The sequence below is a fragment of the Homo sapiens genome, chromosome 13 (assembly GCF_000001405.40).
Source record: "Homo sapiens chromosome 13, GRCh38.p14 Primary Assembly".
Classification (NCBI taxonomy): Eukaryota; Metazoa; Chordata; class Mammalia; order Primates; family Hominidae; genus Homo; species Homo sapiens.
This window is the reverse complement of record NC_000013.11, coordinates 17,617,578-17,640,625: the sequence shown is the minus strand read 5'-3', so window position 1 is coordinate 17,640,625 and position 23,048 is coordinate 17,617,578. Positions and strand designations below refer to the sequence as shown.

Genomic DNA, 23,048 nt, shown 5'->3' with positions numbered 1-23,048 from the left:
CATCAGAAAGAAGTTTGTGAGAATGCTTCTGTCTAGATTTTGTATGACCATATTCCCTTTTCCAGCGATATCATTAAAGCAATCTAAATATCCATTTGCAGAATCCACAAAAATAGAGTTTCAAAGCTGCTCTGTAAAAAGAAAGGTTCCACTCTGTTAGCTGAGTACACACATCACAAACCTGTTTCTCAGAATCCTTCTGTCTCGTTTTTATGGGAAGATATTTACTTTTCCACCGTAGGCATCAAAGCGCTCCAAATGTCCACATCCAGATACTCCAGAACGAGTGTTTCAAACCTGCTCTATGAAAGAGAATCTTCAACTCTATGAGTTGAATGCAGACATCAGAAAGAAATTTCTGAGAATGCTGCTGTCTACTTTTTATTTGAATCCCCGCTTCCAACGAAATCCTCCAAGCTATCCAAATATCCACCTGCATTTTCCACAAAAAGAGTGTTTCAAAACTGCTCTATCAATAGAAATGTTCAACTCCTTTAGCTGGGTAGACACAGCACAAACAAGTTTCTGAGAATGCTTCTGTCTAGTTTTTATGGGAAGACATTCCCTTTTTCACCAAAGGCATCAAAGCGCTCCAAATGTCCACTTCCAGACACTACAAAAAGAGTGTTTCCAACGTGCTCTAAGAAACCGAATGTTCAACTCTGTGACTTGAATGCAGATATCACAAAGTAGTTTCTGAGAGTGCTTCTGTCTAGATTTAAGATGATGATATTCCCGTTTCCAACGAAATCATTAGAGCTATCCAAATATCCACTTACAGTTTCTACAAAAAGAGTGTTTCCAAACTGCTGCATCAAAAGAGAGGTTCCACTCTGTTAGCTGAGTACACACATCACAAACTTGTTTCTCAGAATCCTTCTGTCTCGTTTTTATGGGAAGATATTTACTTTTTCACCGTAGGCATCAAAGCGCTCCAAATGTCCACATCCAGATACTCCAGAAAGAGTGTTTCAAACCTCCTCTATGAAAGGGAATCTTCAACTCTATGAGTTGAATGCAGACATCAGAAAGAAATTTCTGAGAATGCTGCTGTCTACCTTTTATTTGAATTCCCGCTTCCAACGAAATCCTCCAAGCTATCCAAATATCCACTTGCAGATTCCACAAAAAGAGTGTTTCAAAACTGCTCTCTATCAATGGCAAAGTTCAACTCTGTTAGTTGAGGACACATATCACCAACAAGTTTCTGAGAATGCTTCTGTCTATCTTTTATGGGAAGATATTTCCTTTTTCACCGTAGGCGTCAAGGCGATCGAAATGTCCACTTCCACAAACTACAAAAAGAGTGTTTCAAACCTGCTCTATGAAAGGCCATGTTCATCTCTATGAGTCGAATGGAAATATCCGAAAGAAATTTCTGGGAATGCTGCTGTCTAGTTTTTATACGAATTCCCGCTTCCAACGAAATCCTCAAAGCAATCCAAATATCCACTTGCAGAATCCACAAAAAGAGTGTTTCAAAACTGCTCTATCAATAGAAAGGTTCAACTCTTTTAGTTGAGTACACACATCACAAACAAGTTTCTGAGAATGCTTCTGTCTGGCTTTTATTGGAAGACGTTTCCTTTTCACCAAAGGCATCAAAGCGCTCCAAATGTCCACTTCCAGATTCTTCCAAAAGAGTGTTTGAAACGTGCTCAAAGTAAGGGAATGTTCAACTCTGTGACTTGAATGCAGATATCACCAAGTAGTTTCTAATAGTGCTTCTGTCTAGATTTTAGATGATGATATTCCCGTTTCCAACGAAATCGTTAGAGCTATCCAAATATCCACTTACAGTTGCTACAGAAACAGTGTTTCCAAACTGCTGCATCAAAAGAAAGGTTCAACTCTGTTAGTTGAGGACACACGTCACAAAGAAGTTTGTGAGAATGCTTCTGTCTAGATTTTGTATGACGATATTCCCTTTTCCAACGATATCGTTAAAGCAATCTAAATATCAATTTGCAGAATCCACAAAAATAGAGTTTCAAAGCTGCTCTGTAAAAAGAAAGTTTCCACTCTGTTAGCTGAGTACACACATCACAAACTTGTTTCTGAGAATCCTTCTGTCTCGTTTTTCTGGGAAGATATTTACTTTTTCACCGTAGGCATCAAAGCGCTCCAAATGTCCACATCCAGATACTCCAGAAAGAGTGTTTCAAACCTGCTCTATGAAAGGGAATCTTCAACTACTATGAGTTGAATGCAGACATCAGAAAGAAATTTACTGAGAATGCTGCTGTCTACCTTTTATTTGAATTCCCGCTTCCAACGAAATCCTCCAAGCTATCCAAATATCCACTTGCAGATTCCACAAAAAGAGTGTTTCAAAACTGCTCTCTATCAATGGCAAAGTTCAACTCTGTTAGTTGAGGACACATATCACCAACAAGTTTCTGAGAATGCTTCTGTCTATTTTTTATGGGAAGATATTTCCTTTTTCACCGTAGGCGTCAAGGCGATCGAAATGTCCACTTCCACAAACTACAAAAAGAGTGTTTCAAACCTGCTCTATGAAAGGCCATGTTCATCTCTATGAATCGAATGGAAATATCCGAAAGAAATTTCTGGGAATGCTGCTGTCTAGTTTTTATACGAATTCCCGCTTCCAACGAAATCCTCAAAGCAATCCAAATATCCACTTGCAGAATCCACAAAAAGAGTGTTTCAAAACTGCTCTATCAATAGAAAGGTTCAACTCTTTTAGTTGAGTACACACATCACAAACAAGTTTCTGAGAATGCTTCTGTCTGGCTTTTATTGGAAGACGTTTCCTTTTCACCAAAGGCATCAAAGCGCTCCAAATGTCCACTTCCAGATTCTTCCAAAAGAGTGTTTGAAACGTGCTCAAAGTAAGGGAATGTTCAACTCTGTGACTTGAATGCCGATATCACCAAGTAGTTTCTAATAGTGCTTCTGTCTAGATTTTAGATGATGATATTCCCGTTTCAAATGAAATCGTTAGAGCTATCCAAATATCCACTTACAGTTTCTACAAAAAGAGTGTTTCCAAACTGCTGCATCAAAAGAAATGTTCAACTCTGTTAGTTGAGGACACACATCACAAAGAAGTTTCTGAGAATGCTTCTGTCTAGATTTTGTATGACGATATTCCCTTTTCCAACGATATCGTTAAAGGAATCTAAATATCCATTTGCAGAATCCACAAAAATAGAGTTTCAAAGCTGCTCTGTAAAAAGAAAGGTTCCACTCTGTTAGCTGAGTACACACATCACAAACTTGTTTCTCAGAATCCTTGCTGTCTACCTTTTATTTGAACTCCCGCTTCCAACGAAATCCTCCAAGCTATCCAAATATCCACTTGCATTTTCCACAAAAAGAGTGCTTCAAAACTGCTCTATCAATAAATGTTCAACTCCTTTAGCTGGGTGCACACATCACAAACAAGTTTCTGAGAATGCTTCTGTCTACTTTTTAAGGGAAGACATTTCCTTTTTCACCAAATGCATCAAAGCGCTCCAAATGTCCACTTCCAGATTCTACAAAAAGAGTGTTTCAAACCTGCTCTAAGTAAGGGAGTTTTCAACTCTGTGACTGGAATGCAGATATCACAAAGTAGTTTCTGAGACTGATTCTGTCGAGATTTTAGATGATGATATTCCCGTTTCCAACGAAATCATTAGAGCTATCCAAATATCCACTTACAGTTTCTACAAAAAGAGTGTTTCCAAACTACTGCATCAAAAGAGAGGTTCCACTCTGTTAGCTGAGTACACACATCACAAACTTGTTTCTCAGAATCCTTCTGTCTCGTTTTTATGGGAAGATATTTACTTTTTCACCGTAGGCATCAAAGCGCTCCAAATGTCCACATCCAGATACTACAGAAAGAGTATTTCAAACCTGCCCTATGAAAGGAAATGTTCAACTCTATGAGTTGAATGCAGAGATCAGAAAGAAATTTCTGAGAATGCTGCTGTCTACCTTTTATTTGAATTCCCGCTTCCAACGAAATCCTCCAAGCTATCCAAATATCCACTTGCAGATTCAGGAAAAAGAGTGTTTCAAAACTGCTCTCTATCAATGGCAAAGTTCAACTCTGTTAGTTGAGGACACATATCACCAACAAGTTTCTGAGAATGCTTCTGTCTATTTTTTATGGGAAGATATTTCCTTTTTCACGGTAGGCGTCAAGGCGATCGAAATGTCCACTTCCACAAACTACAAAAAGAGTGTTTCAAACCTGCTCTATGAAAGGCCATGTTAATCTCTATGAGTTGAATGGAAATATCCGAAAGAAATTTCTGGGAATGCTGCTGTCTAGTTTTTATATGAATTCCCGCTTCCAACGAAATCCTCAAAGCAATCCAAATATCCACTTGCAGAATCCACAAAAAGAGTGTTTCAAAACTGCTCTATCAATAGAAAGGTTCAACTCTTTTAGTTGAGTACACACATCACAAACAAGTTTCTGAGAATGCTTCTGTCTGGCTTTTATTGGAAGACGTTTCCTTTTCACCAAAGGCATCAAAGCGCTCCAAATGTCCACTTCCAGATTCTTCCAAAAGAGTGTTTCAAACGTGCTCGAAGTAAGGGAATGTTCTACTCTGTGACTTGAATGCAGATATCACCAAGTAGTTTCTAATAGTGCTTCTGTCTAGATTTTAGGTGATGATATTCCCGTTTCCAACGAAATCGTTAGAGCTATCCAAATATCCAGTTACAGTTTCTACCAAAAGGGTGTTTCCAAATTGCTGCATCAAAAGAAAGGTTCAACTCTGTTAGTTGAGGACACACATCACAAAGAAGTTTGTGAGAATACTTCTGTCTAGGATTTTGTATGACGGTATTCCCTTTTCCAACGATATCGTTAAAGCAATCTAAATATCAATTTGCAGAATCCACAACAATAGAGTTTCAAAGCTGCTCTGTAAAAAGAAAGGTTCCACTCTGTTAGCTGAGTACACACATCACAAACTTGTTTCTGAGAATCCTTCTGTCTCGTTTTTATGGGAAGATATTTACTTTTCCACCGTAGGCATCAAAGCGCTCCAAATATCCACATCCGGATACTCCAGAACGAGTGTTTCAAACCTGCTCTATGAAAGGGAATCTTCAACTCTATGAGTTGAATGCAGACATCAGAAAGAAATTTCTGAGAATGCTCCTGTCTACCTTTTATTTGAATTCCCGCTTCCAACGAAATCCTCCAAGCTATCCAAATATCCACTTGCATTTTCCACAAAAAGAGTGTTTCAAAACTGCTCTATCAATAGAAATGTTCAACTCCTTTAGCTGGGTACACACATCACAAACAAGTTTACTGAGAATGCTTCTGTCTAGTTTTTATGGGTAGACATTCCCTTTTTCACCAAAGGAATCAAAGCGCTCCAAATGTCCACTTCCAGACACTACAAAAAGAGTGTTTCAAACGTGCTCTAAGAAAGCGAATGTTCAACTCTGTGACTTGAATGCAGATATCACAAAGTAGTTTCTGAGAGGGCTTCTGTCTAGATTTTAGATGATGATATTCCCGTTTCCAACGAAATCATTAGAGCTATCCAAATATCCACTTACAGTTTCTACAAAAAGAGTGTTTCCAAACTGCTGCATCAAAAGAGAGGTTCCACTCTGTTAGCTGAGTACACACATCACAAACTTGTTTCTCAGAATCCTTACTGTCTCGTTTTTATGGGAAGATATTTACTTTCTCACCGTAGGCATCAAAGCGCTCCAAATGTCCACATCCAGATACTCCAGAAAGAGTGTTTCAAACCTGCTCTATGAAAGGGAATCTTCAACTCTATGAGTTGAATGCAGACATCAGAAAGAAATTTCTGAGAATGCTGCTGTCTACCTTTTATTTGAATTACCGCTTCCAACGAAATCCTCCAAGCTATCCAAATATCCACTTGCAGATTCCACAAAAAGAGTGTTTCAAAACTGCGCTCTATCAATGGCAAAGTTCAACTCTGTTAGTTGAGGACACATATCACCAACAAGTTTCTGAGAATGCTTCTGTCTATTGTTTATGGGAAGATATTTCCTTTTTCACCGTAGGCGTCAAGGCGATCGAAATGTCCACTTCCACAAACTACAAAAAGAGTGTTTCAAACCTGCTCTATGAAAGGCCATGTTCATCTCTATGAGTTGAATGGAAATATCCGAAAGAAATTTCTGGGAATGCTGCTGTCTAGTGTTTATACGAATTCCCGCTTCCAACGAAATCCTCAAAGCAATCCAAATATCCACTTGCAGAATCCACAAAAAGAGTGTTTCAAAACTGCTCTATCAATAGAAAGGTTCAACTCTTTTAGTTGAGTACACACATCACCAACAAGTTTGCTGAGAATGCTTTCTGTCTGGCTTTTATTGGAAGACGTTTCCTTTTCACCAAAGGCATCAAAGCGCTCCAAATGTCCACTTCCAGATTCTTCCAAAAGAGTGTTTCAAACGTGCTCAAAGTAAGGGAATGTTCAACTCTGTGACTTGAATGCAGATATCACCAAGTAGTTTCTAATAGTGCTTCTGTCTAGCATTTTAGATGATGATATTCCCGTTTCCAACGAAATCGTTAGAGCTATCCAAATATCCACTTACAGTTTCTACAAAAAGAGTGTTTCCAAACTGCTGCATCAAAAGAAAGGTTCAACTCTGTTAGTTGAGGACACACATCACAAAGAAGTTTGTGAGAATGCTTCTGTCTAGATTTTGTATGACCATATTCCCTTTTCCAGCGATATCATTAATGCAATCTAAATATCCATTTGCAGAATCCACAAAAATAGAGTTTCAAAGCTGCTCTGTAAAAAGAAAGGTTCCACTCTGTTAGCTGAGTACACACATCACAAACTTGTTTCTCAGAATCCTGCTGTCTACCTTTTATTTGAATTAACGCTTCCAACGAAATCCTCCAAGCTATCCAAATATCCACTTGCATTTTCCACAAAAAGAGTGTTTCAAAACTGCTCTATCAATAGAAATGTTCAACTCCTTTGGCTGGGTACACACATCACAAACAAGTTTCTGAGAATGCTTCTGTCTAGTTTTTATGGGAAGACGTTCCCTTTTTCACCAAAGCCATCAAAGCGCTCCAAATGTCCACTTCCAGACACTACAAAAAGACTGTTTCAAACGTGCTCTAAGAAAGCGAATGTTCAACTCTGTGACTTGAATGCAGATATCACAAAGTAGTTTCTGAGAGTGCTTCTGTCTAGATTTTAGATGATGATATTCCCGTTTCCAACGAAATCATTAGAGCTATCCAAATATCCACTTACAGTTTCTACAAAAAGAGTGTTTCCAAACTGCTGCATCAAAAGAGTGGTTCCACTCTGTTAGCTGAGTACACACATCACAAACTTGTTTCTCAGAATCCTTCTGTCTCGTTTTTATGGGAAGAGATTTACTTTTTCACCGTAGGCATCAAAGCGCTCCAAATGTCCACATCCAGATACTACAGAAAGAGTATTTCAAACCTGCTCTATGAAAGGGAAGGTTCAACTCTATGAGTTGAATGCAGACATCAGAAAGAAATTTCTGAGAATGCTGCTGTCTACCTTTTATTTGAATTCCCGCTTCCAACGAAATCCTCCAAGCTATCCAAATATCCACTTGCAGATTCCACAAAAAGAGTGTTTCAAAACTGCTCTCTATCAATGGCAAAGTTCAACTCTGTTAGTTGAGGACACATATCACCAACAAGTTTCTGAGAATGCTTCTGTCTATTTTTTATGGGAAGATAATTCCTTTTTCAGCGTAGGCGTCAAGGCGATCGAAATGTCCACTTCCACAAACTACAAAAAGTGTGTTTCAAACCTGCTCTATGAAAGGCCATGTTCATCTCTATGAGTTGAATGGAAATATCCGAAAGAAATTTCTGGGAATGCTGCTGTCTAGTTTTTATACGAATTCCCGCTTCCAACGAAATCCTCAAAGCAATCCAAATATCCACTTGCAGAATCCACAAAAAGAGTGTTTCAAAACTGCTCTATCAATAGAAAGGTTCAACCCTTTTAGTTGAGTACACACATCACAAACAAGTTTCTGAGAATGCTTCTGTCTGGCTTTTATTGGAAGACGTTTCCTTTTCACCAAAGGCATCAAAGCGCTCCAAATGTCCACTTCCAGATTCTTCCAAAAGAGTGTTTGAAACGTGCTCAAAGTAAGGGAATGTTCAACTCTGTGACTTGAATGCAGATATCACCAAGTAGTTTCTAATAGTGCTTCTGTCTAGATTTTAGATGATGATATTCCCGTTTCCAACGAAATCGTTAGAGCTATCCAAATATCCACTTACATTTTCTACAAAAACAGTGTTTCCAAACTGCTGCATCAAAAGAAAAGTTCAACTCTGTTAGTTGAGGACACACATCACAAAGAAGTTTGTGAGAATGCTTCTGTCCAGATTTTGTATGACGATATTCCCTTTTCCAACGATATCGTTAAAGCAATCTAAATATCAATTTCCAGAATCCACAAAAATAGAGTTTCAAAGCTGCTCTGTAAAAAGAAAGGTTCCACTCTGTTAGCTGAGTACACACATCACAAACTTGTTTCTGAGAATCCTTCTGTCTCGTTTTTCTGGGAAGATATTTACTTTTTCACCGTAGGCATCAAAGCGCTCCAAATGTCCACATCCAGATACTCCAGAAAGAGTGTTTCAAACCTGCTCTATGAAAGGGAATCTTCAACTCTGTGAGTTGAATGCAGACATCAGAAAGAAATTTCTGAGAATGCTGCTGTCTACCTTTTATTTGAATTCCCGCTTCCAACGAAATCCTCCAAGCTATCCAAATATCCACTTGCAGATTCCACAAAAAGAGTGTTTCAAAACTGCTCTCTATCAATGGCAAAGTTCAACTCTGTTAGTTGAGGACACATATCACCAACAAGTTTCTGAGAATGCTTCTGTCTATTTTTTATGGGAAGATAATTCCTTTTTCACCGTAGGCGTCAAGGCGATCAAAATGTCCACTTCCACAAACTACAAAAAGAGTGTTTCAAACCTGCTCTATGAAAGGCCATGTTCATCTCTATGAGTCGAATGGAAATATCCGAAAGAAATTTCTGGGAATGCTGCTGTCTAGTTTTTATATGAATTCCCGCTTCCAACGAAATCCTCAAAGCAATCCAAATATCCACTTGCAGAATCCACAAAAAGAGTGTTTCAAAACTGCGCTATCATTAGAAAGGTTCAACTCTTTTAGTTGAGTACACACATCACAAACAAGTTTCTGAGAATGCTTCTGTCTGGCTTTTATTGGAAGACGTTTCCTTTTCACCAAAGGCATCAAAGCGCTCCAAATGTCCACTTCCAGATTCTTCCAAAAGAGTGTTTCAAACGTGCTCAAAGTAAGGGAATGTTCAACTCTTTGACTTGAATGCAGATATCACCAAGTAGTTTCTAATAGTGCTTCTGTCTAGATTTTAGATGATGATATTCCCGTTTCCAACGAAATCGTTAGAGCTATCCAAATATCCACTTACAGTTTCTACAAAAAGAGTGTTTCAAAACTTCTCTATGAAAAGAAAGGTTCTACTCCTTTAGTTGAGGACACACATCACGAGTAAGTTTCTGAGAGTGCTTCTGTCCAGATTTTGTATGACGACATTCCCTTTTCCAACGATATCGTTAAAGCAATCTAAATATCAATTTGCAGAATCCACAAAAATAGAGTTTCAAAGCTGCTCTGTAAAAAGAAAGGTTCCACTCAGTTAGCTGAGTACACACATCACAAACTTGTTTCTGAGAATCCTTCTGTCTCGTTTTTATGGGAAGATATTTACTTTTCCACCGTAGGCATCAAAGCGCTCCAAATGTCCACATCCAGATACTCCAGAACGAGTGTTTCAAACCTGCTCTATGAAAGGGAATCTTCAACTCTATGAGTTGAATGCAGACATCAGAAAGAAATTTCTGAGAATTCTGCTATCTACCTTTTATTTGAATTCCCGCTTCCAACGAAATCCTCCAAGCTATCCAAATATCCACTTGCATTTTCCACAAAAAGAGTGTTTCAAAACTGCTCTATCAATAGAAATGTTCAACTCCTTTAGCTGGGTACACACATCACAAACAAGTTTCTGAGAATGCTTCTGTCTAGTTTTTATGGGAAGACATTCCCTTTTTCACCAAAGGCATCAAAGCGCTCCAAATGTCCACTTCCAGACACTACAAAAAGAGTGTTTCAAACGTGCTCTAAGAAAGCGAATGTTCAACTCTGTGACTTGAATGCAGATATCACAAAGTAGTTTCTGAGAGGGATTCCGTCTAGATTTTAGATGATGATATTCCCATTTCCAACGAAATCATTAGAGCTATCCAAATATCCACTTACAGTTTCTACAAAAAGAGTGTTTCCAAACTGCTGCATCAGAAGAGAGGTTCCACTCTGTTAGCTGAGTACACACATCACAAACTTGTTTCTGAGAATCCTTCTGTCTCGTTTTTCTGGGAAGATATTTACTTTTTCACCGTAGGCATCAAAGCGCTCCAAATGTCCACATCCAGATACTCCAGAAAGAGTGTTTCAAACCTGCTCTATGAAAGGGAATCTTCAACTCTATGAGTTGAATGCAGACATCAGAAAGAAATTTCTGAGAATGCTGCTGTCTAACTTTTATTTGAATTCCCGCTTCCAACGAAATCCTCCAAGCTATCCAAATATCCACTTGCAGATTCAGGAAAAAGAGTGTTTCAAAACTGCTCTCTATCAATGGCAAAGTTCAACTCTGTTAGTTGAGGACACATATCACCAACAAGTTTCTGAGAATGCTTCTGTCTATTTTTTATGGGAAGATATTTCCTTTTTCACCGTAGGCGTCAAGGCGATCGAAATGTCCACTTCCACAAACTACAAAAAGAGTGTTTCAAACCTGCTCTATGAAAGGCCATGTTCATCTCTATGAGTCGAATGGAAATATCCGAAAGAAATTTCTGGGAATGCTGCTGTCTAGTTTTTATACGAATTCCCGCTTCCAACGAAATCCTCAAAGCAATCCAAATATCCACTTGCAGAATCCACAAAAAGAGTGTTTCAAAACTGCTCTATCAATAGAAAGGTTCAACTCTTTTAGTTGAGTACACACATCACAAACAAGTTTCTGAGAATGCTTCTGTCTGGCTTTTATTGGAAGACGTTTCCTTTTCACCAAAGGCATCAAAGCGCTCCAAATGTCCACTTCCAGATTCTTCCAAAAGAGTGTTTCAAACGTGCTCAAAGTAAGGGAATGTTCAACTCTTTGACTTGAATGCAGATATCACCAAGTAGTTTCTAATAGTGCTTCTGTCTACATTTTAGATGATGATATTCCCGTTTCCAACGAAATCGTTAGAGCTATCCAAATATCCAGTTACAGTTTCTACCAAAAGGGTGTTTCCAAATTGCTGCATCAAAAGAAAGGTTCAACTCTGTTAGTTGAGGACACACATCACAAAGAAGTTTGTGAGAATGCTTTCTGTCTAGATTTTGTATGACCATATTCCCTTTTCCAACGATATCGTTAAAGCAATCTAAATATCAATTTGCAGAATCCACAAAAATAGAGTTTCAAAGCTGCTCTGTAAAAAGAAAGGTTCCACTCTGTTAGCTGAGTACACACATCACAAACTTGTTTCTGAGAATCCTTCTGTCTAGTTTTTATGGGAAGATATTTACTTTTCACCGTAGGTATCAAAGCGCCCCAAATGTCCACATCCAGATACTACAGAAAGAGTGTTTCAAACCTGCTCTATGAAAGGGAATCTTCAACTCTATGAGTTGAATGCAGACATCAGAAAGTAATTTCTGAGAATGCTGCTGTCTACCTTTTATTTGAATTCCCGCTTCCAAGGAAATCCTCCAAGCTATCGAAATATCCACTAGCATTTTCCACAAAAAGAGTGTTTCAAAACTGCTCTATCAATAGAAATGTTCAACTCCTTTAGCTGGGTACACACATCACAAACAAGTTTCTGAGAATGCTTCTGTCTAGTTTTTATGGGAAGACGTTCCCTTTTTCACCAAAGGCATCAATGCGCTCCAAATGTCCACTTCCAGACACTACAAAAAGAGTGTTTCCAACGTGCTCTAAGAAAGCGAATGTTCAACTCTGTGACTTGAATGCAGATATCACAAAGTAGTTTCTGAGAGTGCTTCTGTCTAGATTTAGATGATGATATTCCCGTTTCCAACGAAATCATTAGAGCTATCCAAATATCCACTTACAGTTTCTACAAAAAGAGTGTTTCCAAACTGCTGCATCAAAAGAGAGGTTCCACTCTGTTAGCTGAGTACACACATCACAAACTTGTTTCTCAGAATCCTTCTGTCTCGTTTTTATGGGAAGATATTTACTTTTCCACCGTAGGCATCAAAGCGCTCCAAATGTCCACATCCAGATACTCCAGAAAGAGTGTTTCAAACCTGCTCTATGAAAGGGAATCTTCAACTTTATGAGTTGAATGCAGACATCAGAAAGAAATTTCTGAGAATGCTGCTGTCTACCTTTTATTTGAATTCCCGCTTCCAACGAAATCCTCCAAGCTATCCAAATATCCACTTGCAGATTCCACAAAAAGAGTGTTTCAAAACTGCTCTCTATCAATGGCAAAGTTCAACTCTGTTAGTTGAGGACACATATCACCAACAAGTTTCTGAGAATGCTTCTGTCTATTTTTTATGGGAAGATATTTCCTTTTTCACCGTAGGCGTCAAGGCGATCGAAATGTCCACTTCCACAAACTACAAAAAGAGTGTTTCAAACCTGCTCTATGAAAAGCCATGTTCATCTCTATGAGTTGAATGGAAATATCCGAAAGAAATTTCTGGGAATGCTGCTGTCTAGTTTTTATACGAATTCCCGCTTCCAACGAAATCCTCAAAGCAATCCAAATATCCACTTGCAGAATCCACAAAAAGAGTGTTTCAAAACTGCTCTATCAATAGAAAGGTTCAACTCTTTTAGTTGAGTACACACATCACAAACAAGTTTCTGAGAATGCTTCTGTCTGGCTTTTATTGGAAGACGTTTCCTTTTCACCAAAGGCATCAAAGCGCTCCAAATGTCCACTTCCAGATTCTTCCAAAAGAGTGTTTGAAACGTGCTCAAAGTAAGGGAATGTTCAACTCTGTGACTTGAATGCAGATATCACCAAGTAGTTTCTAATAGTGCTTCTGTCTAGATTTTAGATGACGATATTCCCGTTTCCAACGAAATCGTTAGAGCTATCCAAATATCCACTTACAGTTTCTACCAAAAGGGTGTTTCCAAACTGCTGCATCAAAAGAAAGGTTCAACTCTGTTAGTTGAGGACACACATCACAAAGAAGTTTGTGAGAATGCTTCTGTCTAGATTTTGTATGACCATATTCCCTTTCCCAGCGATATCATTAAAGCAATCTAAATATCCATTTGCAGAATCCACAAAAATAGAGTTTCAAAGCTGCTCTGTAAAAAGAAAGGTTCCACTCTGTTAGCTGAGTACACACATCACAAACTTGTTTCTGAGAATCCTTATGTCTCGTTTTTATGGGAAGATACTTACTTTTCCACCGTAGGCATCAAAGCGCTCCAAATGTCCACATCCAGATACTCCAGAACGAGTGTTTCAAACCTGCTCTATGAAAGGGAATCTTCAACTCTATGAGTTGAATGCAGACATCAGAAAGAAATTTCTGAGAATGCTGCTGTCTACCTTTTATTTGAACTCCCGCTTCCAACGAAATCCTCCAAGCTATCCAAATATCCACTTGCATTTTCCACAAAAAGAGTGCTTCAAAACTGCTCTATCAATAGAAATGTTCAACTCCTTTAGCTGGGTGCACACATCACAAACAAGTTTCTGAGAATGCTTCTGTCTAGTTTTTATGGGAAGACGTTCCCTTTTTCACCAAAGGCATCAAAGCGCTCCAAATGTCCACTTCCAGACACTACAAAAAGAGTGTTTCCAGCGTGCTCTAAGAAAGCGAATGTTCAACTCTGTGACTTGAATGCAGATATCACAAAGTAGTTTCTGAGAGGGCTTCTGTCTAGATTTTAGATGATGATATTCCCGTTTCCAACGAAATCATTAGAGCTATCCAAATAACCACTTACAGTTTCTACAAAAAGAGTGTTTCCAAACTGCTGCATCAAAAGAGAGGTTCCACTCTGTTAGCTGAGTACACACATCACAAACTTGTTTCTCAGAATCCTGCTGTCTACCTTTTATTTGAATTCCCGCTTCCAACGAAATCCTCCAAGCTATCCAAATATCCACTTGCATTTTCCACAAAAAGAGTGTTTCAAAACTGCTCTATCAATAGAAATGTTCAACTCCTTTGGCTGGGTACACACATCACAAACAAGTTTCTGAGAATGCTTCTGTCTAGTTTTTATGGGAAGACGTTCCCTTTTTCACCAAAGGCATCAAAGCGCTCCAAATGTCCACTTCCAGACACTACAAAAAGAGTGTTTCCAACGTGCTCTAAGAAAGCGAATGTTCAACTCTGTGACTTGAATGCAGATATCACAAAGTAGTTTCTGAGAGGGCTTTCTGTCTAGATTTTAGATGATGATATTCCCGTTTCCAAAAAAATCTTTAGAGCTATCCAAATATCCACTTACAGTTTCTACAAAAAGAGTGTTTCCAAACTGCTGCATCAAAAGAGAGGTTCCACTCTGTTAGCTGAGTACACACATCACAAACTTGTTTCTCAGACTCCTGCTGTCTACCTTTTATTTGAATTCCCGCTTCCAAGGAAAATCCTCCAAGCTATCGAAATATCCACTAGCATTTTCCACAAAAAGAGTGTTTCAAAACTGCTCTATCAATAGAAACGTTCAACTCCTTTAGCTGGGTACACACATCACAAACAAGTTTCTGAGAATGCTTCTGTCTAGTTTTTATGGGTAGACATTCCCTTTTTCACCAAAGGAATCAAAGCGCTCCAAATGTCCACTTCCAGCCACTACAAAAAGAGTGTTTCAAACGTGCTCTAAGAAAGCGAATGTTCAACTCTGTGACTTGAATGCAGATATCACAAAGTAGTTTCTGAGAGGGCTTCTGTCTAGATTTTAGATGATGATATTCCCGTTTCCAACGAAATCATTAGAGCTATCCAAATATCCACTTACAGTTTCTACAAAAAGAGTGTTTCCAAACTGCTGCATCAAAAGAGAGGTTCCACTCTGTTAGCTGAGTACGCCCATCACAAACTTGTTTCTCAGAATCCTTCTGTCTCGTTATTATGGGAAGATATTTACTTTTCCACCGTAGGCATCAAAGCGCTCCAAATGTCCACATCCAGATACTCCAGAACGAGTGTTTCAAACCTGCTCTATGAAAGGGAATCTTCAACTCTATGAGTTGAATGCAGACATCAGAAAGAAATTTCTGAGAATGCTGCTGTCTACCTTTTATTTGAATTCCCGCTTCCAACGAAATCCTCCAAGCTATCCAAATATCCACTTGCAGATTCCACAAAAAGAGTGTTTCAAAACTGCTCTCTATCAATGGCAAAGTTCAACTCTGTTAGTTGAGGACACATATCACCAACAAGTTTCTGAGAATGCTTCTGTCTATTTTTTATGGGAAGATATTTCCTTTTTCACCGTAGGCGTCAAGGCGATCGAAATGTCCACTTCCACAAACTACAAAAAGAGTGTTTCAAACCTGCTCTATGAAAGGCGATGTTCATCTCTATGAGTTGAATGGAAATATCCGAAAGAAATTTCTGGGAATGCTGGCTGTCTAGTTTTTATATGAATTCCCGCTTCCAACGAAATCCTCAAAGCAATCCAAATATCCACTTGCAGAATCCACAAAAAGAGTGTTTCAAAACTGCTCTATCAATAGAAAGGTTCAACTCTTTTAGTTGAGTACACACATCACCAACAAGTTTCTGAGAATGCTTCTGTCTGGCTTTTATTGGAAGACGTTTCCTTTTCACCAAAGGCATCAAAGCGCTCCAAATGTCCACTTCCAGATTCTTCCAAAAGAGTGTTTCAAACGTGCTCGAAGTAAGGGAATGTTCTACTCTGTGACTTGAATGCAGATAACACCAAGTAGTTTCTAATAGTGCTTCTGTCTAGATTTTAGATGATGATATTCCCGTTTCCAACGAAATCGTTAGAGCTATCCAAATATCCACTTACAGTTTCTACCAAAAGGGTGTTTCCAAATTGCTGCATCAAAAGAAAGGTTCAACTCTGTTAGTTGAGGACACACATCACAAAGAAGTTTGTGAGAATGCTTCTGTCTAGATTTTGTATGAAGATATTCCCTTTTCCAACGATATCGTTAAAGCAATCTAAATATCCATTTGCAGAATCCACAAAAATAGAGTTTCAAAGCTGCTCTGTAAAAAGAAAGGTTCCACTCTGTTAGCTGAGTACACACATCACAAACTTGTTTCTCAGAATCCTTCTGTCTCGTTTTTATGGGAAGATATTTACTTTTCCACCGTAGGCATCAAAGCGCTCCAAATGTCCACATCCAGATACTCCAGAAAGAGTGTTTCAAACCTGCTCTATGAAACGGAATCTTCAACTCTATGAGTTGAATGCAGACATCAGAAAGAAATTTCTGAGAATGCTGCTGTCTACCTTTTATTTGAATTCCCGCTTCCAACAAAAACCTCCAAGCTATCCAAATATCCACTTGCAGATTCCACAAAAAGAGTGTTTCAAAACTGCTCTATCAATAGAAATGTTCAACTCCTTTCGCTGGGTACACACATCACAAACAAGTTTCTGAGAATGCTTCTGTCTAGTTTTTATGGGTAGACATTCCCTTTTTCACCAAAGGAATCAAAGCGCTCCAAATGTCCACTTCCAGACACTACAAAAAGAGTGTTTCAAACGTGCTCTAAGAAAGCGAATGTTCAACTCTGTGACTTGAATGCAGATATCACACAGTGGTTTCTGAGAGTGCTTCTGTCTAGATTTTAGATGATGATATTCCCGTTTCCAACGAAATCATTAGAGCTATCCAAATATCCACTTACAGTTTCTACAAAAAGAGTGTTTCCAAACTGCTGCATCAGAAAAGAGGTTCCACTCTGTTAGCTGAGTACACACATCACAAACTTGTTTCTGAGAATCCTTTCTGTCTCGTTTTTATGGGAAGATATTTACTTTTTCACCGTAGGCATCAAAGCGCTCCAAATGTCCACATCCAGATACTCCAGAAAGAGTGTTTCAAACCTGCTCTATGAAAGGGAATCTTCAACTCTATGAGTTGAATGCAGACATCAGAAAGAAATTTCTGAGAATGCTGCTGTCTACCTTTTATTTGAATTCCCGCTTCCAACGAAATCCTCCAAGCTATCCAAATATCCACTTGCAGATTCCACAAAAAGAGTGTTTCAAAACTGCTCTCTATCAATGGCAAAGTTCAACTCTGTTAGTTGAGGACACATATCACCAACAAGTTTATGAGAATGCTTCTGTCTATTTTTTATGGGAAGATATTTCCTTTTTCACCGTAGGCGTCAAGGCGATCGAAATGTCCACTTCCACAAACTACAAAAAGAGTGTTTCAAACCTGCTCTATGAAAGGCCATGTTCATCTCTATGAGTCGAATGGAAATATCCGAAAGAAATTTCTGGGAATGCTGCTGTCTAGTTTTTATACGAATTCCCGCTTCCAACGAAATCCTCAAAGCAATCCAAATATCCACTTGCAGAATCCACAAAAAGAGTGTTTCAAAACTGCTCTATCAATAGAAAGGTTCAACTCTTTTAGTTGAGTACACACATCACAAACAAGTTTCTGAGAATGCTTCTGTCTGGCTTTTATTGGAAGACGTTTCCTTTTCACCAAAGGCATCAAAGCGCTCCAAATGTCCACTTCCAGATTCTTCCAAAAGAGTGTTTGAAACGTGCTCAAAGTAAGGGAATGTTCAACTCTGTGACTTGAATGCAGATATCACCAAGTAGTTTCTAATAGTGCTTCTGTCTAGATTTTAGATGACGATATTCCCGTTTCCAACGAAATCGTTAGAGCTATCCAAATATCCACTTACAGTTGCTACAAAAACAGTGTTTCCAAACTGCTGCATCAAAAGAAAGGTTCAACTCTGTTAGTTGAGGACACACGTCACAAAGAAGTTTGTGAGAATGCTTCTGTCTAGATTTTGTATGACGATATTCCCTTTTCCAACGATATCGTTAAAGCAATCTAAATATCAATTTGCAGAATCCACAAAAGTAGAGTTTCAAAGCTGCTCTGTAAAAAGAAAGGTTCCACTCTGTTAGCTGAGTATACACATCACAAACTTGTTTCTGAGAATCCTTCTGTCTCGTTTTTATGGGAAGATATTTACTTTTTCACCGTAGGCATCAAAGCGCTCCAAATGTCCACATCCAGATACTCCAGAGTGTTTCAAACCTGCTCTATGAAAGGGAATCTTCAACTCTATGAGTTGAATGCAGACATCAGAAAGAAATTTCTGAGAATGCTGCTGTCTACCTTTTATTTGAATTCCCGCTTCCAACGAAATCCTCCAAGCTATCCAAATATCCACTTGCAGATTCCACAAAAAGAGTGTTTCAAAACTGCTCTCTATCAATGGCAAAGTTCAACTCTGTTAGTTGAGGACACATATCACCAACAAGTTTCTGAGAATGCTTCTGTCTATTTTTTATGGGAAGATATTTCCTTTTTCACCGTAGGCGTCAAGGCGATCGAAATGTCCACTTCCACAAACTACAAAAAGAGTGTTTCAAACCTGCTCTATGAAAGGCCATGTTCATCTCTATGAGTCGAATGGAAATATCCGAAAAAATTTCTGGGAATGCTGCTGTCTAGTTTTTATACGAATTCCCGCTTCCAACGAAATCCTCAAAGCAATCCAAATATCCACTTGCAGAATCCACAAAAAGAGTGTTTCAAAACTGCTCTATCAATAGAAAGGTTCAACTCTTTTAGTTGAGTACACACATCACAAACAAGTTTCTGAGAATGCTTCTGTCTGGCTTTTATTGGAAGACGTTTCCTTTTCACCAAAGGCATCAAAGCGCTGCAAATGTCCACTTCCAGATTCTTCCAAAAGAGTGTTTCAAACGTGCTCAAAGTAAGGGAATGCTCAACTCTGTGACTTGAATGCAGATATCAACAAGTAGTTTCTAATAGTGCTTCTGTCTACATTTTAGATGATGATATTCCCGTTTCCAACGAAATCGTTAGAGCTATCCAAATATCCAGTTACAGTTTCTACCAAAAGGGTGCTTCCAAATTGCTGCATCAAAAGACAGGTTCAACTCTGTTAGTTGAGGACACACATCACAAAGAAGTTTGTGAGAATGCTTCTGTCTAGATTTTGTATGACGATATTCCCTTTTCCAACGATATCATTAAAGCAATCTAAATATCCATTTGCAGAATCCACAAAAATAGAGTTTCAAAGCTGCTCTGTAAAAAGAAAGGTTCCACTCTGTTAGCTGAGTACACACATCACAAACTTGTTTCTCAGAATCCTTCTGTCTCGTTTTTATGGGAAGATATTTACTTTTTACCGTAGGCATCAAAGCGCTCCAAATGTCCACATCCAGATACTCCAGAAAGAGTGTTTCAAACCTGCTCTATGAAAGGGAATCTTCAACTCTATGAGTTGAATGCAGACATCAGAAAGAAATTTCTGAGAATGCTGCTGTCTACCTTTAATTTGAATTCCCGCTTCCAACGAAATCCTCCAAGCTATCCAAATATCCACTTGCAGATTCCACAAAAAGAGTGTTTCAAAACTGCTCTCTATCAATGGCAAAGTTCAACTCTGTTAGTTGAGGACACATATCACCAACAAGTTTCTGAGAATGCTTATCTGTCTATTTTTTATGGGAAGATATTTCCTTTTTCACCGTAGGCGTCAAGGCGATCGAAATGTCCACTTCCACAAACTACAAAAAGAGTGTTTCAAACCTGCTCTATGAAAGGCCATGTTCATCTCTATGAGTTGAATGGAAATATCCGAAAGAAATTTCTGGGAATGCTGCTGTCTAGTTTTTATATGAATTCCCGCTTCCAACGAAATCCTCAAAGCAATCCAAATATCCACTTGCAGAATCCACAAAAAGAGTGTTGCAAAACTGCTCTATCAATAGAAAGGTTCAACTCTTTTAGTTGAGTACACACATCACAAACAAGTTTCTGAGAATGCTTCTGTCTGGCTTTTATTGGAAGACGTTTCCTTTTCACCAAAGGCATCAAAGCGCTCCAAATGTCCACTTCCAGATTCTTCCAAAAGAGTGTTTGAAACGTGCTCAAAGTAAGGGAATGTTCAACTCTGTGACTTGAATGCAGATATCACCAAGTAGTTTCTAATAGTGCTTCTGTCTAGATTTTAGATGATGATATTCCCGTTTCCAACGAAATCGTTAGAGCTATCCAAATATCCACTTACAGTTTCTACCAAAAGGGTGTTTCCAAATTGCTGCATCAAAAGAAAGGTTCAACTCTGTTAGTTGAGGACACACATCACAAAGAAGTTTGTGAGAATGCTTCTGTCTAGATTTTAGATGATGATATTCCCGTTTCCAACGAAATCGTTAGAGCTATCCAAATATCCACTTACAGTTTCTACAAAAAGAGTGTTTCCAAACTGCTGGATCAAAAGAGAGGTTCCACTCTGTTAGCTGAGTACACACATCACAAACTTGTTTCTCAGAATCCTGCTGTCTACCTTTTATTTGAATTCCCGCTTCCAACGAAATCCTCCAAGCTATCCAAATATCCACTTGCAGATTCCACAAAAAGAGTGTTTCAAAACTGCTCTCTATCAATGGCAAAGTTCAACTCTGTTAGTTGAGGACACATATCACCAACAAGTTTCTGAGAATGCTCTGTCTATTGTTTATGGGAAGATATTTCCTTTTTCACCGTAGGCGTCAAGGCGATCGAAATGTCCACTTCCACAAACTACAAAAAGAGTGTTTCAAACCTGCTCTATGAAAGGCGATGTTCATCTCTATGAGTTGAATGGAAATATCCGAAAGAAATTTCTGGGAATGCTGGCTGTCTAGTTTTTATATGAATTCCCGCTTCCAACGAAATCCTCAAAGCAATCCAAATATCCACTTGCAGAATCCAGAAAAAGAGTGTTTCAAAACTGCTCTATCAATAGAAAGGTTCAACTCTTTTAGTTGAGTACACACATCACGAACAAGTTTCTGAGAATGCTTCTGTCTGGCTTTTATTGGAAGACGTTTCCTTTTCACCAAAGGCATCAAAGCGCTCCAAATGTCCACTTCCAGATTCTTCCAAAAGAGTGTTTCAAACGTGCTCGAAGTAAGGGAATGTTCTACTCTGTGATTTGAATGCAGATATCACCAAGTAGTTTCTAATAGTGCTTCTGCCTACATTTTAGATGATGATATTCCCTTTTCCAACGAAATCGTTAGAGCTATCCAAATATCCAGTTACAGTTTCTACCAAAAGGGTGTTTCCAAATTGCTGCATCAAAAGAAAGGTTCAACTCTGTTAGTTGAGGACACACATCACAAAGAAGTTTGTGAGAATGCTTCTGTCTAGATTTTGTATGACGGTATTCCCTTTTCCAACGATATCGTTAAAGCAATCTAAATATCAATTTGCAGAATCCACAACAATAGAGTTTCAAAGCTGCTCTGTAAAAAGAAAGGTTCCACTGTGTTAGCTGAGTACACACATTACAAACTTGTTTCTGAGAATCCTTCTGTCTCGTTTTTATGGGAAGATATTTACTTTTTAACCGTAGGCATCAAAGCGCTCCAAATGTCCACATCCAGATACTCCAGAAAGAGTGTTTCAAACCTGCTCTATGAAAGGGAATCTTCAACTCTATGAGTTGAATGCAGACATCAGAAAGAAATTTCTGAGAATGCTGCTGTCTACCTTTTATTTGAATTCCCTCTTCCAACGAAATCCTCCAAGCTATCCAAATATCCACTTGCATTTTCCACAAAAAGAGTGTTTCAAAACTGCTCTATCAATAGAAATGTTCAACTCCTTTAGCTGGGTACACACATCACAAACAAGTTTCTGAGAATGCTTCTGTCTAGTTTTTATGGGAAGACATTCCCTTTTTCACCAAAGGCATCAAAGCGCTCCAAATGTCCACTTCCAGACACTACAAAAAGAGGGTTTCAAACGTGCTCTAAGAAAGCGAATATTCAACTCTGTGACTTGAATGCAGATATCACAAAGTAGTTTCTGAGAGGGCTTCTGTCTAGATTTTAGATGATGATATTCCCGTTTCCAACGAAATCATTAGAGCTATCCAAATATCCCCTTACAGTTTCTACAAAAAGAGTGTTTCCAAACTGCTGCATCAAAAGAGAGGTTCCACTCTGTTAGCTGAGTACACACATCACAAACTTGTTTCTCAGAATCCTTCTGTCTCGTTTTTATGGGAAGATATTTACTTTTTCACCGTAGGCATCAAAGCGCTCCAAATGTCCACATCCAGACACTCCAGAAAGAGTGTTTCAAACCTGCTCTATGAAAGGGAATCTTCAACTCTATGAGTTGAATGCAGACATCAGAAAGAAATTTCTGAGAATGCTGCTGTCTACCTTTTATTTGAATTCCCGCTTCCAACGAAATCCTCCAAGCTATCCAAATATCCACTTGCAGATTCCACAAAAAGAGTGTTTCAAAACTGCTCTCTATCAATGGCAAAGTTCAACTCTGTTAGTTGAGGACACATATCACCAACAAGTTTCTGAGAATGCTCCTGTCTATTTTTTATGGGAAGATATTTCCTTTTTCACCGTAGGCGTCAAGGCGATCGAAATGTCCACTTCCACAAACTACAAAAAGAGTGTTTCAAACCTGCTCTATGAAAGGCCATGTTCATCTCTATGAGTTGAATGGAAATATCCGAAAGAAATTTCTGGGAATGCTGCTGTCTAGTTTTTATACGAATTCCCGCTTCCAACGAAATCCTCAAAGCAATCTAAATATCCACTTGCAGAATCCACAAAAAGAGTGTTTCAAAACTGCTCTATCAATAGAAAGGTTCAACTCTTTTAGTTGAGTACACACATCACAAACAAGTTTCTGAGAATGCTTCTGTCTGGCTTTTATTGGAAGACGTTTCCTTTTCACCAAAGGCATCAAAGCGCTCCAAATGTCCACTTCC

The 23,048-nt window shown here is 38.6% G+C and overlaps 1 annotated feature.

Annotated features, from left to right (window-relative positions):
* Positions 1–23,048: part of a centromere (Linear centromere model derived predominantly from reads generated in PMID: 17803354. This region does not represent an actual centromere sequence, as long-range ordering of repeats and unmapped WGS contigs is not provided by the model. For details of model production, see http://arxiv.org/abs/1307.0035.) that runs on past both edges of the window.